This window comes from Homo sapiens, chromosome 9 (assembly GCF_000001405.40).
Source record: "Homo sapiens chromosome 9, GRCh38.p14 Primary Assembly".
Lineage (NCBI taxonomy): Eukaryota > Metazoa > Chordata > Mammalia > Primates > Hominidae > Homo > Homo sapiens.
Window position 1 is genome coordinate 92,711,287 of NC_000009.12, and position 17,220 is coordinate 92,728,506.

The following is a 17,220-nucleotide window of genomic DNA, read 5'->3' on the forward strand; positions in this document are numbered from 1 at the left end:
GCAGTGGATTTATTGTGCCTTGCTTAAACCACAGTTATCTGGAGCACGGAGTCAGAACAACCACAGAGAACAAACATGTGCTTTGTCTTTTTATTATTCTTTATTGGTCCTACCAATGTGACTCTTTACCCAGGCCCACTGTTCCTATGCGCACTGGCTTTGTAGGCATTCACATCATATGTCTGTGTCCTGAAAATCTCAATTAATTTCTCCTTCCTATTCCTTTTCCATGCTCTGCCTCATTTTCTCAGAAATTGAAGGCATTTGATTATTATTTTTTTGTTTGGGTCTGTGTAAAGGTTCCTTGGCAGGAGAACATGCATATGACTTTAAAATAAAGACCAACATTCTGACACTAAGGTAATGCACAGAAAAAATACAGTACTCAGACATCATTGCAAATAAATACCCCATACAGATGAAGTTATCTCAAATGTAACAATATTTCTTATGAATCAACACTGTAACGGAAGGTAAAAATAGGAGTCCCTACAACTAGGAATAAGAAATGCTTATTCCAGGAAACAGAATTCTTTTATTTTTGTCATTTATATTATTATAATTTTTCCTTTTTTGGAGAAGGAAGGACAGTTTTTCTTCCTCCAAGAGTACCAATTTGACCACTCCCACTAACCTCACTCAGCAAACAAAACAGGATGTAGACCTGGTTTGCTAAGGAGTTTTAATGAGTTCTGTTTCCTGAAATTAACAGTGATTAGTTACACCAAGCAAGAGAAGATATAATGTCTCGCTTTCACATTTGCAAAGAATACTATGGCTAACCCTCATCCCCTACTGCGCATGCCAACACAGCGTCGGCCCTCCTGATACCCTCAGCTCTTCACAAACGTGGCGTTCATACAGCTTGCTCAGCTTGTCCCAGAAGGTCCATTTGGTTCCCAAAGCACACTCAAGGTTTTGTGTTTGCTTTCATTTTCTAAGCCCCTGAATTTGCAAGTAAAGAATCACTGACTAACAGAATTTTGCACAATGACTGTTTTCTTTCCCTCAATGAAGATGCCCAGGTCTGGGTGTGAGGAGCACCTGCCTCACCTGCTGTCCACGCTGGCCTTCAGCATGCCCACTAGCTCTTCCCTGCTCGCTTTTGAGAATGATCTGTGCTGGGACACCTCCCTTAACTGATGAAGGCACTACTGGCAATGATTACTAACAAAAAGGTGTTGAAAGAGAACACCCTAAAAATCGACGACTGTAGAATTTTCTAAGTGTACCACAATTTGGCACAACAACCAGAGTAACAAAACAATTCCAATTTGGAATTTTATTGGTACAGTTGTATAAAATTCTGTTAATCAGTCATGCTTCACAACGTCCTAAAACCCAGAAAATTCTGGAATTTGTAGGTAATACTACTCATTCAATAATTTATCTTTTTTTTTCAAGTGCCTATTACTGTTTTAACCAGAGCAAAGGTCAAGTTTTCTTCTTGTTACATTGAACTATTCCTAAGAATAATAATAATACAATATGAAAAACCCCAGAATCTGAATACCCTGGATTTCTTAATGAACATGGCATTTAAAATCTGTAATTTCAAACATGAACCACAATGCCGTATGATCTAAAGGCTGCTGAACCACAGCGTGGATACACTTAGCTGAGCTCCTCGCTGGGTCAAAGCACTCATCTCCGAGTCTAAAGCTACACGCTATGGAGCACACAGCTCTGCCTCGTGCTGACACCAGACAAACACGGTGGGAGCTGAGGCGGACAGCTACAGGACCACGAGCATAGACCACGGCACCTGAGACCGTCTCTACGCGAGGAATTAAGGAAGCAAATATAATATCAAAATATCAAAAGTGCACAGGTTGATCGGATAAAAAAAGAACATGTGTAACAAGGAGCCCCCGTGGTGGGCGTTTCCAGTGGGCTCCTGGCGAGCCTGGCAGCCAGGGAAGAAGGGTCTTCGGCCCATACAGAGGCCTTTCCACGCAGCAGCTCGCAGCATGCTCAACATTAAAGCTTTTTTTCCTCCCATTAAAAACCTGGGGAATGCTATTTTGAAAAGAATTGCAGTGGCATATCCAAAAAGTTTCTAAGTGGGCTTTTAGGTTGCCCTTCCTTCCTCCTTGTGGGCCACGAGAGGGAAGGGGAAGGGGCTGCAGTGTGACAGGGCCGGGTGGCCAAGTCCTCCTGGCAGCTACTCTACAGCTGAAAACGGGAGAAAAGAGAGCGTTAGAAAGCGGTCATCTGTCGCTTCCTGTTTATCTGACAATTGAAGCTCTCCACGTGCTGGGAGGGCGCGAGCACGTTAGTTGGCAGAAGAGAAGACCTGCATGTGTTAGCAGGGGTCCCAGTGGCTTGGGTGTCTGCAAAGTCCCTTAGGAGTATGGAGAGAAGCTATGTGCCAGGCTTGCAAGGAGAGGGCAAAGCGCATGCAGGGTGGGCATGCCAGCAGCCATCCCACTGCGAGTCTTGCTGGGGCAGGGGGATCTGGGCCCAGGATGAACACGCAGGGGACATACATGGGCGTGTCCTGGAGTCTGGAGGGGACCGAAACATACTCGGCACCAAAGGGAAGAACGCGCAGGGCAGAGAGCTGTGGGAGGGGGCAACACGGTCTCTCACCAGGTAACTCGAATGCCTCTTCCGCATGAGAGACAAGGCAAGCAGCCTGCAGGAGAGAAGACTGCAGCCTCAGGTCCAGCTGGTCCCACAGGGTGATCGGGAAAAAAGTACTGAGAAAAGTTCTGCTCAGAATGTGGGAAGGCAGGTGTGGATGGAGCCTCTGGAAATGGGAGAACCCTACAGCTACCTTTCCTCTTTCTCTGTTGCCATCCCCCAGATTGCACTAAATAAAGAGACCTAAACATCTCCTACCTGTGAATCCTGACAAGTGGCCCTGGCCCTATGCAAAGCTTTCCCAGCACCGGGCTGGGCTCTGGATACACCTGTGGGTGTCCAACCCAGCCAAGCCCTTGGTGGCTCAGACTTCAGGCTAGGGTTTTCAAAGCCCCATGTCTTTGGGACTGAACCCCCTATGGAAGGCCGGATAATTGGCTGCTGGGGTCACCCCAAGTACAAAAGGACGGGCTCTGCACTAAGGACCAAGGTCTGGCCAGGCACTTGGAAAGCTTTTCTCATGAAAAATGAAAACCTGGGGCCTTGGGCCCTGCCAATCTGTCACCTCACAGGCCACTATACAAGCATCCTGATCTCAGAAATGAGAAACCGAGCTCTGGATTCCTGGGTTATGGTCAGCTGTGTCTGTGCCATGTGTGTCTGGCCAGCAGAATACAGGGGCTCAGGGCTGCTCTTCTCTGGGCTTGGGGAAGAAATTCTGCACTTCTTTCCTGAATATGATTTGCAGTCAGATACTGCATAAACTACAACGTACTCCTTTCCATGAAACTATGCCAAGTGCAAAGCCATCCTCTGAGGTCGTACCTATGCTGCAGGCTGGAACCTCCTAAAACTGCTTTCTAGTGCTGACATTAGACACATGCGAGGAACATGCAAGTCTCAACTCAGGTTCTGCCCCTTTTGGGTGCTGAGGGAGCAGGACCAGGACTCCTCCCTTGGGTTTCCCCACGGGTGCGCAGGGCTTAGAAGATGCTTTCATCACACATCTGCTGCAAGAATGTGCAGCTCTATCCCCACCTCTGACCCCCACCTAAGAGAGCAGCTGAGGACTGGGTGCTCCTGAGGGGGCTTTGAGGAGTGAGAAGCGACACAAAGCTCTCACAAGTGTCCTGCTGATGCAACGCCCCATGGCGCCTCGGCTAGACTCCTACCCTCTGTGCATTAGTCACGTTAAGATTGACCTAGCACCGCCGTCCCGCTGCTGCTGGGTTAGTTGAGGTGAAGCAGATGTTAGCTGCAGCGTGCGGCGCCCCACAGCCCCTAATCACAGTAAATGCTGTGCTTCTCGCTGCAGAACACCTGGTTGGCCAGCCCGGTGCCCTCGGCCCTGTCGCTGGCACAGGCACAGGTGTGACTTACGCTCGGTGTGGCTGGCTTGGTCTTCGGGGCGGCTTTGGCACGGCCACGCCGGGTCTGCTCATGGTCCAGCTCGAGCAGCTCCAGCCGCTGGGTCAGCGCCAGCTTCTGCTGGATGGCCATGCGCAGCAGCGAGTTCAGCGTCTTCTTCTCGTCCTCAGCAGCCGCCAGCTGCCGCTGCATCTCATCCAGCTGTGTAATGTACTCGTCACACCTGTGGGTACCAAAAACATGACTGAGGGGCGGGCAGAGCCGAGCAGAGGAGGGCAGGGCAGGGCAGGGCTAAGCTGCACGGCCCTCTGACAGCCCTATACCAGAGCCATCCTTCAATGTGGCCTCTGGACTGGAGGGTGTGGCTGGGGAAGAATTATTCTGGCTTATTTTAGCACAGGCTTTGCTTGGACAAATCCCTGATAAGGGTGAGAGGGAGGCTTGGGCCCAGGCAGGGCAGCCCTATGAGGCTGGCTTGAGTTTTGTGGTTTTGTGGGGGAGGGGCTGCTTTGCTCTTTCAGCTGCATGTAGTGCTTACAAACAGGCTATGCCCCTCAGCGACTGGGCTTCTTCTAGGAGGCGCTCTCCCCGCTTAAAGGCCTCGAGGTGGCCTGGGGCATCAAGACATGGAGAAGCCATGGCTTCTAGGGTGTGGATGTAAATCTAAGCAGGACTGGGCTTGTTCCCAAGGTCGATGCTTCGTCAGTCTGTGCTGAGCACTGACCAGAGCCAAGGAACCACGTGTGTGGACGCCATCAACAGCTTCATCCTGAAACCCGGGTGCGGAGCTGTGGGAGGGTGTGGTCTGTCCCTGGATGCCCTTCTTCCACATGTCCCATATGGGTGGGGCTTGGTAGAGACAAAGGGCGGGTTAAATCCCAGGGCTCCCAGGGCGGTGAGGCTGTGCAGGCACTGAGCACAGCCCCACCCTGCCCACACGCACCCTACTCTGCCTGTCCCCACCTGCCAGGAGCCGGCCCTTGGATAGCACCCTCTCCAAGGACTCTGCTGCCCACCCTTTTGAGGGCACACAGAGCTGTGATCCCTGCAGATTCAAAATCTTGGCTCCATCTGAAAAGTTTTTAAATAAAACAAATTTTAAAAGGTAGGGTTTACATGCCAGATACTGAGAAACTGTGGGATTTTTTCCCCAAGCCCCAGGAAGACAGGACGCTTCCAGAGAAATCCTGGGACTCTTCCTTGTCTGTACCCTGCTCTGGCACGTCCTGCAGGGATACTGAGAAACTGGGAGTGCACGGCACCAGGCTTGAGAGAAGCAGGCCCTATGTGCATGCAGTTCCCACCCTGTCCAGCTCAGATCCTCAGCTTGCTCACCCATAAAAAGGAAACATCTAGGTTATCTGCTGGGCCCATGGTGGGCCTGGCTGTCCCCCATGCAGGGCTGACCCCATGGTGCTATCCCAACATGACCCAGCAGGTGGCGCTACCCATCTTTGGAAAGTGAAAGACAGCGGTACCTGTCAGGGGGCACCTGGGAAGATGCTGAAACCAGGACCTGCCCCACAGAGGCCTGTGAACACTTAGGGAGCCTCGATTCCCAGCCTTGGGGTCTGAGTCCCAGCCAGGGAGGGGTGTGCACCCACCAGGGGCAGCCCACCTCAGAGCCCATTACTAAGAGCCCTCCACAGAGGAAGAAAGAAAGCTGGTCTCCTCCAAGCCCCGGCCCTCTCCTCACCCTCCCCAGATTGGCAAAGTAGAGGATGGGAGGTGAGTACCCAGCGGTCACAATGACGCAGAGGTACAGGGCTATGCACAGAGGTGGGACCCGAACTGTGGACCCCAGCAGTGACCTGCTCCAGCCAGGAGGATAATCTTCCTTCTGAATCTACAAACATAAATACACACTTGTGCCATATGGCCAAGTTCTTGGGGGCAAATACCTCATGAGAGGAAAGGCCAGGACTCCTCTGTCACCTGTTGGCCCCAAGTTAAGTCCCTGTAAATGTTGGATTCAAGGGGTGGGAGCCCAAGCATCCCCTGAAGCTATGCAACTCTGGCCCATCCACTCCAGGATCTGCTCTCCTCAGCCCTTCTGCCCTCAGTCTCCATATATGCAAAGCAGAGACAAGCCTGGGCCTGCTGCGGTTTCATTCACAGCAAAATGGAACCGGCGCCACAGAACCAGGCTCCTGGGGGCTGGGCTAGGTGCAAAAGGAACATTAAAAGGATCACACACGCTCTGCTATCCCCGGCCACATGTGGGCACCTGCCAGGCATGCCCTATGCTCCAGCAACTGCTTGCGTGACCTCGGAGGAAGCTGAGGTGCAGCAGCTAGGGGCCCCCAACCCCATGTGGCCCCCATATCGCCTCACCCTTTCTTGTCACCAACTTGAGCACCAGTGTGCCAGAGATGTGCCAGGGGCCATGCTTCCCCAACCTCGTACCATGCTGGCCCTGATGGAGCTGGGCACAGCCACTGACTAGTCAGGGCTGCAGGCCTCAGCATGAGGCAGTGAGAGGCTAAGGGTTCCAGAGGCAAGTGCTGAGGACAGCTGGCCTTGTGGAAGGGGAGGGCCCGACAGCAGCACGGTTACCTGGTGGCAAACATAGCACGCAGCGAGGAGAAGGTGGCTGCGTCCTCCTTGAGGGCCTTGAGCTCATTGCGCAGCTTCATCATGGTCTCGGTAACCATGGCCTTCTCATTCTCATACTTGCTCTTCAGGTTGGCAAGGGCCACCTCGGCCGTCTGGGGGACAGATGTGTAGGGTGGAAAAGTGAAAGGCGTGAAGTCAGCCTAGAGGTGCTCTGGGAGCAGGATCGGGAGCCCCGGTCTGAAGTGGTGGCAGTGCCTGGGAAGAAAGCTCCTGGGAGGCCCCTCCCTGTGACAAACCCTGGGGATGGACTCCAGCAGCTACGCCATGGGGAGTCCCACCTGCTGATTCTGACTGGCAGAGGAGGGACTGCCCCTAAACCTGCCAACAGGACCTCCACGAAGCCCCACAATTGCTCTCCACAGCTCAGACTATGGCTCTCACATGTTTTCCCTCCAGTATCAGGAAGCACTACGAGGCAGTCACAGTGAGTCAAGGGCAGCGGCATTTCTCACTGGCTGAGCAGCTCTGCTGAGGGGCCCTCACACCCACCTGCCTGCTCCACCCTCCCAGCTGGGGGCCCTGAGCAGGGGAGGGTAGGCAGTCGAGCTACTATGGGGCTGGCTCTGTCTGGTGGTGACGCAGGCCTGGGGGGGCCCCGTGGCAGGGGGAGGAAGGAGGCCAAGGGGGAAACACCCTTAGGCCAGTAGTAGGTGACATGTGCCCCTGCTGCCTGGCACCTCACCTGCTTGTTGGCCTTGAGCACAGTGCGCAGCGTGGTGATCTGCTCCCGCTTGGTGCTGAGCAGCGACTTCAGCTTGAGGATCTCCTCCATAAGCGCTTCCTTGTCCTTGTCCACGGCGGGGCCCAGCTCCTGAGAGGCAATGCGCTGGCGTGACAGCTCCGTGGTGCGGTCCACGGCTGCCTGCAGGTGCTTGATCTGGTCACGGATGATAGCGATCAGGTTGTAGATGTTCATGGGCTCCCGGCGTGGGTCACTCAGGGGTGATGGCAGTGAGGAGCCAGGCGAGGGGCTGCTGTCCCCCGTCCCACCATCTGCTCGGCCCGCCTCAGGAGCCAGCAGCCCCTTGGGTAGGAGGATGGGTGAGCGCCGGCCACGCGCCTCGGGGCTGGTGCGGCCCCCGGGACTGGTGCGGCCGGCCCCGCCCTGGCCCTCGCGGTAGTAGTCCAGCATGACACGGTTGGGTGTCTCATTGTTGCACATGCACACGTGGTGGTAGAGATTGGCCAGCTCCTCACTGAAGGTCACCAGCTCATCCTGGGCCACACTCAGGCTGCCCTGTGTCTCGCCGGCGACGTCGCTCACCTTCTTTAGCTCCTTCTCCAGCCGGGCCAGCAGCTCGCGGTCCTGGCGGCTGGCCTTCTCTAGCAGGGAGACCTTCTCCGTGAGTGCCTGGCCCTCAGCCTCATAGCGGCCCTTCTCCTCGGCGTGCTGGGCCTCACGAGCCTCGTGCGTGCTGCGCAGTGCCTTGAGCTGCTCGCGGAGCTCGCCAGCCTCAGCCACAGCCACATGGTACTTGCAGGCCAAGATCTCAGGCCCGTTGATGTCCACCTCGTAGTAGTCCCCATCCTCATGGCTGTCACGGTCCTTCTCGTTGTCCAGGGCTGTCTGCCGCTCCTTGCTGGCCTGCAGGCGCCGCAGGGCACTCAGATTCTCTGTGAGGCGGGTCACCTTCTCCTGCTGTTCTGACAGGGAGCCCCGCGTGTGCTCCAGCTGCTTCTGTGTGTCCTGCAGCGTTGCCAGCAGGCCCGCCTTTTCCCGCTCCATCTGCAAAGGCACAGGCAGCAGGACACCATGTCAGTTGCTATGGACCCCGAGAGCTTGGAGGACCCCCAAGATGGCCTAGTGACATCCCACCCCATGTCAGGGCAGGCTGTCAGCCCCAGGTTCCTTGGCCATGCTGTCAGTGAGGTGGACAAAGACACACAGGGTGTGGAAAGAATGGAATTCATGCTGGGCCCTCAGAACACTAACCGTCACCAGTAATGGTGGTCACCCTCAACGCAGGCTCTTTCCCCAACCATGCTACAGGGGATCTGGGCTAAGAAAGTGGAGCTCTAGGCTGGCTGGGTGTGTAGTCGGGAATATTAGCACCCTAGCCCTCTGCTTCGGAGGACAGGACTCTGTTGCCTTGGATCAACAGGGATCCATGTCCCAGGGGATGAGCCCAAGCATGACCATGGTGGGCCCCTGACACCTGGCCTGCGTGCAGGGATCACATGTGGGCCAGTGTCTCATCACTTCACCCTGACACCACGTAGTTAACAGGGGAGCAATGTGGGTGCTGCAGTGCCAGGAAACCACTTCTCTGAGACTCCTCTATGTGTGCTCCTGGAGTTCCATTTACCGTAATGATGCAGGAGATAAAATCAACGTAAGGAAAAGGGAAAGTTAACATCAGCAGAGTGTCAGGTAAGCACTGCTCGGGGAGCCCTGCAGACCTGGAGTGGGGACAGCGTGCCGAAGGCCCCACTGCCTGCTCACCTGCATCAGCTGCTGCTTCAGCTTCTGGATCTCAGAGATGTTGAGCTCACTGAGTAGGTCGGAGACGAGGCTGGGGGAGGGCGGTGCGAGGCCCTCCTTCTTGGGCGTGGAGGTCTTGTTGTCCAGTGGCAGCTTGGCCAGGCCGCCGTGCTCAAAGCCATTGACCAGGGCCTCGGCATCGTTGTTGGGCTCGGCAGCATCGTCACTGAACTTGAGGCCATCCAGCGAGACATGCAGGTGGCTGGTGTAGAAGGAGTCATTGATGCTCATGTAGTGTGACAGCTCCTTGCGCAGGCTGTTCTTCTGTTCGCGCTCCGTCTTCAGGGTCTCCAGCGCCTCCTCCAGCTGCCGCTCTGAGATCTCCTTGAGGCGGATGGCATCCTCCAGCTGGCTGTTGAGGTACTCGGTCTCCTCCTCCAGACGCTTGATCTCATGCTTGAGGCCCTCAAACTCCACCTGGGAAGAGAAGTCAACGCTCTTGCATCAATGCAATGTGGAAGCTCCTTTCAGGCCCCATAAATGAAGAAAACACACCAGCACACCAACTCCGGCCACTATGAAGCAAAAGATGAAGCGCCAGGTGAGGTGCCATCCTGGGAAGGGTGGCAGCCCGTCCAGGCCAAGACTGCTTCCTCTGCTCAGAGATGTGGATGCTAAGAAGGTTCCAGGGCATGAGATGCGAATGCAATGAAATGCTCAGCCCAGCCCACCCACCGCTGGGACCAGCAGACACAGCAAGGGGAGCACAAATGTCTGAGGTGGCCCCAAGCCAGGACTGTACGTGTGGAGATGCACCAAGAACAACACACATCCATCCATAGAAGGCTGCCAACCTTGTATTAAGTCATTCACAAATATTACCAAGTGCATGCTGATTAAAAATTCTATAAAGTTATTTAATTAACATTAACAGTTAACTAAATATCTTAAGATACATAAAAATATATTTCAATGTGTGCTATGATCATGACTTCTAATCATAGTTCAAAATGAAGGAACAGAAACTCCCCGCAAGGCAGAACATCTCAACCACTAAACCTCCACATGCACATGACACCCAGACCTGGAGGAGCTCGAAGGTAGGTGGGAAAAGCAACATCAAAGTCTTGTCTACATGAAAATTGTATCTGCAGGTGGGCAAGGAAAAAGCAGATAGAAACTGATGCCTGATGTGGAGGCTCAGAATTTGTGGGCAATTGCTAAAACTATTTCTTATTTTTCTGTAATATTTGGAGAAAAAAATAAGAAACAAACCAGTAACAGGAAGTGCTGAGCACATCTCTGTGGGTCTTGGGTCGGAAGGGACACCCATTACCACATCCAAGGTGTGCTCACAGGAGGTGGGCATGGAGCCCTCAGTCCCAGCACCACAAATGCGGAGGTGAGGAATCCCAGAGAGGGAGAGAGAGTCAGACTCCACTAAGCGCCAACCTGAGGACAGGGTCGCCTCAAGCCTCAGTTTCCCTTCTCCTAAGGCCACCATGCGCTGGGCTCTGCCAACAGCAGCACCAATGACCAAATGGTACTTACAATGTAGACAGTGGCTAAGACTGTTAATGAGCTCGAGCTGTCACAGAAGGACCAGGCTAGGAGCTCTGCATAAACACATGAGCTTCCTCCTCCGGGCATAAATACCACATTCCCTGATGGTGAGACTCAGAGGATTTTGGTGGTAGAGGATTTGAGGAAAGCAAGGAAGACATCCATGGCATTCTGGGGAAAGTTTTGGGAGAGAAAAGACTCCCATTCCCCACCATGCAGGAGTGTGGCTCTTGCAGAGAGAAGAGCAAGTTCAGGCCTTGAGTGGCAGAACAGCAGAGCACATGACAATTTAGTCACATCACAAAGAGAAGGGACCCTCCTTATTCATCTCTGTCACAGGCAGAGACCCTACTCGTCCCTGTCAGGGGTCCCTCTGAGACCCCATTAGAGACAGAGGGGTTCCTGTTCATCCCCGTCACAGACAGAGAGGACCTTCCTTGTCCCTGTCACAGGCAGAGACACAGGAATATTGCAGGCCTCATGGTCAGCACCTGATGGGGGAGTCTCAAAGTCCAATCTGGGGTTTTCTGGTGTAACCTCTTCATTACCTCTCAGATTTTTGTTTTCATTTTTGTTGGCTGGGACACCTCAGCCTGGCCAATGTCAGCAAACACTGCAGCCAGAGTTTCATCTTTTGGAGAGTCTGGGTCCCACCAAGTATACCCCTGCCTCCACAGTGGTAAAGCTGGCCCTGGGCCTCGGGTGTGTGGAATAAGACAGGAACCCCTTCCCAACAGGGAGAGGGGCTGAGCAAGAGGTCCTCAAGGCCCAGTTAACCCACGTGCCACCTCCACCCCACAGGCCCAAGACTCACCTGGTTCTGTCTGAGCACAGACACTTGCTTCTGCAGGCTGATGTTCTCCTCCTCCAGTTCCGAGTAGTCCTGCAGCAGACGAGCTTCCCGGAATTTGTACTCCTTGATGTCATCCCGCAGGCGGCCACGCTGGATCTCCACATTCTGGTTGATCTGTTGGGGGAGAGGGAAAGGCAGGTATGAGCAGCCTCCACAGGGCACGAGAGGGGCTCAGTGCAGCCAGGCACGCCATGGCCAGCCATACAGCCAGAACTCAAGAGCCCTGGCCTGCAGGTGCCAGTGTGACTGCCTGGAGAGGAGAGGGAGCCCAGAGCAGTATGCCAGAGTGCACAGCGGACTGCAGAGGTTCCAGAGTAAATTCCCTCAGCCCTTCTCACCTGGGAACCCGTGACTGCCTGCTCCGACCCTTGGTTTCTTCATCTTTAAATTAAAATGGGGTTAAAAGTAGTTCCTGCCTTCTATTATTGGGCATGTACACAGTAGTGCGCAGGTGGGCATATAAATGGTATAGTGCTCTGGCAAACAGCCTGCAGGTGCTGCAACTGTTAAACACAGAGGGTCTACCCCAGAGAAATGTACACATGCCCACACAGAAACCGGTCCACACATGTTCACAGCAGCAGCGTTCATTTTGCCAAAAGGTGGAAGCAGCCCAAGTGCCCATTGACTGATGAATGAATAAACAAAATGTGGTCTCTCCACACAATGGAATGTTGTTCAGCCACAATAAGGAATGACGTACTGACACATGCTACAACATGAATGACCCGTGAACACATTCTGCTGAGTGAAAGAAGGCCTGTCACGAGAGGCCATGCATTATATGATTCCATTTCCATGAAATATCCAGAATAGGCAAATTCATAGAGACACAAAGTAGGTTAGTGGCTGCCAGGAGCTGGGGAGGGGGATGGGGAGTGACTGAAATGGGTTTTCTTTTTGGAGCAATGAACTGTTCTAAGATTGTGGAATGGGGCACATATATGTGACTATCATAAAATACACTGAGTTGTACACCTTATGTGGGTGAACTATATGAGATGTAAATCACCTGAATAAAGCTGTTAAAAATTAGTTCAGGCTCTAAGTTGCCCATAAGGAGCCAAGAGATGTCATGGGAGAGGCTAGTGCAGGGTTGGGGCAAACAGGATGCAATCAAGACAGAATTTCCAACTTGCTGCCATGTGCCAGGGACCTGGGCCCCTCAGCCGCAGCCCTAGCAACATTCAGGGACGTTTCTTCTTTGTGGTGGGAGCCGGCCTGTACATCATATGTCTAGCAGCTCCCTGACCTCTGGCCACCAGACACGGCTGCCTCCTCCATTGTGACAACTGAAAAATCTCTCCAGACGTTGCCAATGTCCCCCAGGGGCAAAATCATCCCCTTGACAAACTCTCTATCCCCTCCCTGTACTCTGCTGACCCAGCTGCCTCCCTGTGTATCTGCAAAGGCCTGGCTCCCCAGACCATCACCACCCCTGCTCCAAAGCCCTCTTGGACTCTCGGCCAGAAGCCCTGTCCATCTTGCGGGCCCCATAGCTTCGCCCACCTCTCACACTGTTCTCTTGGCTTATGCTATGGTTTCTCCTGGTCACATGTGTGCACTCATCTGAATGGAACATACTTTATAGACAAGATTCCAAGATCCCATGCAAGTACACACAAAACGATCATACTGGCAAAATGAAATAGGACATCCCTCCCAAAACAAAGGAAAAAAGGAATGCAACAGAGAGGGGAGGAGAGTCAACAATATACAGCAAGTACTACTGACAAATGCTTACTATTTACAATGAAGATTACATTTAAAACCTACAGCAAATGGACGCAGACATGGCCCTCTCATTATAAGTGACCCAAGGAAGTGACAGAAAGCTGACACCAAAAGAAACAGAGATACCACACAGGGAGGAAGAGAAGGCCTGGCAAAGCCTTGTACCAGAGGAGAAAGTGAGCGAGGTGCATGCTGGGACGAAGCGGGAGAAAGCAGCACCAGCACAGCCATCACCAGGGCCGGGCCCCACAGTGGCTACACGGGGGGTGGATAGGGAGTGGGCAGGCTCTCCAGCCTCTCTCCTGCTAGTGAGAGTGCAGCACCCCCCAGGAGTGTGCTTAGGGGAGCTGCACAAGCCAAGTCACACCCAGGCTCTCCACACCCCAGCTGGAGACTTGGGTACCTCTCTGCCAGAAAGGTTTGCCCAGTTCCTGCTTTTTCCTTGCTAACTGGCAAGCAAGTGGTCTGCAGCAGGTGTGCAAACATGTGCCACTTGATTCAACGCGGCCACCCAGCCGGCTCCTCAGGCGGAGTGGAAGCTGAGGGGAAGGTCTGAGTCCCACCAACTCTCCCAGGCCTGCCAGTCAAGATCAACAAACCTAGAAGGTGCTCCAGGCAGTGGGAAGTGAGAGCCCAGAAGCTTCCATGTGCCTGGGCAGGGAGATAGTGACATGCCCAACTAAAGACTGAAGCAGAGAGCCTGGCCAGATGCCTCATACCATTAGGGTCCCCCAGAGGCACACACGAGACTGCTGTTCCCTTGGCAGTGCTCATGTGAGTCCTCAGGGTCCTTCATCACCTGGCCCAGGCAAGGTGTACTAGGAGTTCTGTCCTTGCACCACTGCCAAACCCAGAACACAGAGGCACACCCAGGTCAAATGCTGGCCTGGCCATACCATGTCATGGGTGATGATGGCACCATCTCTGCTGATGCTGTAGTAGGACGCAAACACTGTGCTTCCATGCCCACACTACTGGGCGTAGGCAGCCAGGCTCATGTGGCCTGCCACCTAGCACCTCCATCCAGCACACGGCCAATTGCCAAGGGCTCAAACAGGCTGACTGGTCGCCATGGGGTTTAGTTTTCCCTCAAGTAAGCACCTTCTCCCAGTGAGCCTGTCTGATGTCAGCCCAAAGAAGTACAGGGGACAAGCTCTGCTGCGTGTGACTGGGCAGCCCAAATGAAGGAGGTGGGAGCACAGGCCTGTAGCTGACCACCAGGGTCCCATCTCAACTCCCCTTTGTGGGATCCCCACACCTCAGACTGCTCATCAGCAAGCAGGGTGTGACAATTGCCTGTTTCAAGGAGCCACTGTGCAGGGGGTCGGCTGCCCTCTCTCCTGTCCCCACCAGACAACCTCAACACCAGGAAACTCTCATCTCTGCCTTGATGGCCTAGGCCAGCCCCTTCACCCTACTCCTTCTTGGGGCAAATATGAAGAAAGATCTTGGTGTGTGTATGAGACCCAGCTCTGACCCCAGGCCTCCTGTGGCTCTCTGGGCCTCTGATTCCCCATCTGGGAAATGGAGCCACATCCCCACCAAGGCCCAATCCAGGCCAGTCCTCAGAAGCTTACCCACCTCCCAGGGGCCCAGGCAGGAAAGATGCTCTCACTAGCAGGAGAGAAGCTGGAGGGGCTGCCCACATGTAGGGCCCACACATACACAGCGGTTAGAGTCAGGATCTGAGAAGCACCTCACCCCCTACCAGCCAGGACACCTTAGGCACATGATGGAACCTTGCAAACCTCTGTTTCTTCACATCTGACGAGATACCAGTAGGGTCACCAGAAGGACCAGGTCTGAGGCAATCAGAACTGTCCAACACATGCCAAATATGTTTGTTACTGTAAAGCTTCACAGGTCCTCATGGTGTGTTGGGGTGTGGAGGGGGACAGACAACCAGTTGACCCAAGGGAGGAAAAAAGGGGAGGGGCTGTTGTGGGTAGCAGGGTGGTGGGTCAAAGGATACAATGAAGGCTGTTTTATCGTCAAATGTACCCTTTCTGACCCATGGGGTGTGAGCCTTGGGCAGTGACTGGGGAAAGCCACGCTGGGGGTGGGCACAGAGAAGCTTGGCACAGTGGCTCAGACCAGCAGAACAGCAGGCAGCAGAAGACAAGAGCTATGCATGACTGGGACTGGTGGTGGTGAGACAAGGTCAGTCCTAGAGATGCTCCACCCGAACCAGGTACCCAAGGCGAAGACCTGGGATGGTTCCCACAGCTCTGCAGCAACCCAGGGCAGGGACACAGTCATGGGGGACACAGCAGACCCAGGGACCAAGGTGGGGACCCTCAGGAGAGACAGGGAAGGCTGAGGGGTGTGCAGGGAGTCTCAGGATTTCCTCCTGAAGCACAAACAGGAACCACAGAAATCCTCTCTTCCCCACAAGACCTGCAGCATCTTTAACTTGCTGTGCTCATTTCCAGTCTTACCTGAAGCCAGCAGGGTCACCCAGCCCTCTTTGGCCTCTGCCACCAGAGATAGGCCTCTTGGAAGAGAGAAGGGGCAGAATGTGCTGGGCTGGGGAGACAGCACCTGCACACGCTTTTCAGGAATAGACGGGCCAGACAGATGGCAGCTGGGGCAGCCAAGGATACATCTCTCCATACACACAGCCCCTCCTCCCACCGACCAGAGGGCTCCTTGTGAGAGGAAATGAGATCATGTACTGCCGCTTCAGGATCTGAGACTCCCCACCCTGAGTCTAAGCCAAGCTCCTCCCTGGGCCCCTAGGGCCTCAGCGATCTCTGACCCCTCACTCCGCTGCTGACCCCGAGGGCAGCATCCTTCAGTACTGGAATGCTAAGCCAACAGCAGCAGCCCTAATCACTGCATACCCTCAGGGCCTATGCCCTGCTGACCTCCCGTAAGATTATCTGCTGCAGAGGGTGGTGCTCCTGTGTCAGGAACAAGGGTCCATAAGTGCTCCCACAATGTGGGGTGAAAGACCTGTGGGGCATCCTCTACAACGGGCTTCAGAGACTGCCGGTTTACAGATGGGGAAACTGAGGCCAGGACTAAAGATAAGGCCTTGCCCAGGCCCCAAGGCTCAGTGAAAGGCAAAGCCAGTATCAGCCCATTCTCAACCGACCCATGCTCCACTCCTCCAGCCATTCCCAATGAGAACCTGGGGCTGACCCTCAAAGGCCACGGCCAGGAGGACTGCAGCTCACGTGCCAACTTCCAGCTCCACTTGCAGTCCCCAGGGACCATCCCACCTCCATCTTGGTGATGGGGCCTCATCCTTCCTCAGAAGGCACTGGCCCCTCTTGCCCCCAAGACAGTCGTCTCAGCCTCACTTTTGTCCCCACAGCCCACTCCCCGTGTAGCCACCAAACCCAAGCTGGACCCTGCCTCCTTCAGGGCCCCACCCAGGCCTGCAGGACTCTCCTGACACTCCTCCTGCCCTTGGCTCAGCACCACAGTGAACATGCCCCTGCCCCAGGGACAGGCACGGGGTACTGCTCTCCCCTGATATCTGCCACATGCCTTCTAGGAGAATGAGGCTTTGCTCACACTGTTTCCTCAGGTTCCACAGACACCGAGGCCCTGGCAGGGCTCAATTAAAATATGTGCCAGTCAGTGAGAAAAGACACTCAGGTGCTCACTCAACCTTCCCTGAGCCTCCTGTTCAAGCCAGCGAGACTCTCCTCCCACCTGCCCCAGTGGATGGAGACTCCTGGCTCTCCTCCTCCTGCTGGGCTCAAACTACACAGGTTCCAGGCACCACAGCAACCTTCCCAAATCCTGCTTTGGCCACATCGTTCCCCTGGGCTCCCCAGTCCTCCACAACTCCAGGGCCTTAGTGTCAGGGCCATGAGCAGCTGGTCCTGTGGCCTTTGCCCCTATCAGGGCCCAAGAGCCAAGCTGGTTCCTCTGACTTCATGTTCACAAGTCATGCACGGACTTGGACGGATTCATGGACGGACACCACAGTCCCATTTCCAGATGTAGAGCCTGTGCCATGTACCAATGGCTGTCCATGGGTACCCAGGACTCCAACAGGCTCTGGTGCCAGGGACCACCCACCCAGACCCTCCCTGCGGGCACTCTGCTGTGAACAAGGCAGGGG

At 54.3% G+C, this 17,220-nt stretch overlaps 1 protein-coding gene across 3 annotated transcripts in view, besides 3 other annotated features; it reads right to left on the bottom strand.

Annotated features, from left to right (window-relative positions):
* Nucleotides 77-17,220, bottom strand: part of BICD2 (BICD cargo adaptor 2) — a 53,471-nt gene continuing 36,327 nt past the window's right edge. For 2 of the 3 annotated variants that reach the window (NM_015250.4, XM_017014551.2), the window contains exons 3-8: nt 11,370-11,522; nt 9,014-9,469; nt 7,253-8,296; nt 6,511-6,662; nt 3,967-4,177; nt 77-2,175 (exon numbers count right to left, since the gene is read on the bottom strand). In NM_015250.4, coding sequence (NP_056065.1) covers nt 2,170-2,175; nt 3,967-4,177; nt 6,511-6,662; nt 7,253-8,296; nt 9,014-9,469; nt 11,370-11,522 — 2,022 coding nt within the window. In that variant the 3' untranslated portion in view covers nt 77-2,169. Of the gene's footprint in view, nt 4,178-6,510; nt 6,663-7,252; nt 8,297-9,013; nt 9,470-11,369; nt 11,523-17,220 lie in introns of all 3 variants that reach the window. The other variant, NM_001003800.2, reaches the window with a different exon arrangement.
* Nucleotides 5,977-6,356: an enhancer, noted in NCBI's record as "active region_28599". NCBI's record gives its function as "activates an Ori minimal core promoter by ATAC-STARR-seq in GM12878 lymphoblastoid cells {active_cell/tissue: GM12878}" and the evidence as "EXISTENCE:reporter gene assay evidence [ECO:0000049][PMID:35858748]".
* Nucleotides 12,941-13,797: an enhancer, noted in NCBI's record as "H3K4me1 hESC enhancer chr9:95486509-95487365 (GRCh37/hg19 assembly coordinates)". NCBI's record gives its function as "activates a minimal SCP1, AML or CMV promoter by ChIP-STARR-seq in primed H9 embryonic stem cells {active_cell/tissue: H9 hESC(primed)}" and the evidence as "EXISTENCE:reporter gene assay evidence [ECO:0000049][PMID:30033119]".
* Nucleotides 13,798-14,653: an enhancer, noted in NCBI's record as "H3K4me1 hESC enhancer chr9:95487366-95488221 (GRCh37/hg19 assembly coordinates)". NCBI's record gives its function as "activates a minimal SCP1, AML or CMV promoter by ChIP-STARR-seq in primed H9 embryonic stem cells {active_cell/tissue: H9 hESC(primed)}" and the evidence as "EXISTENCE:reporter gene assay evidence [ECO:0000049][PMID:30033119]".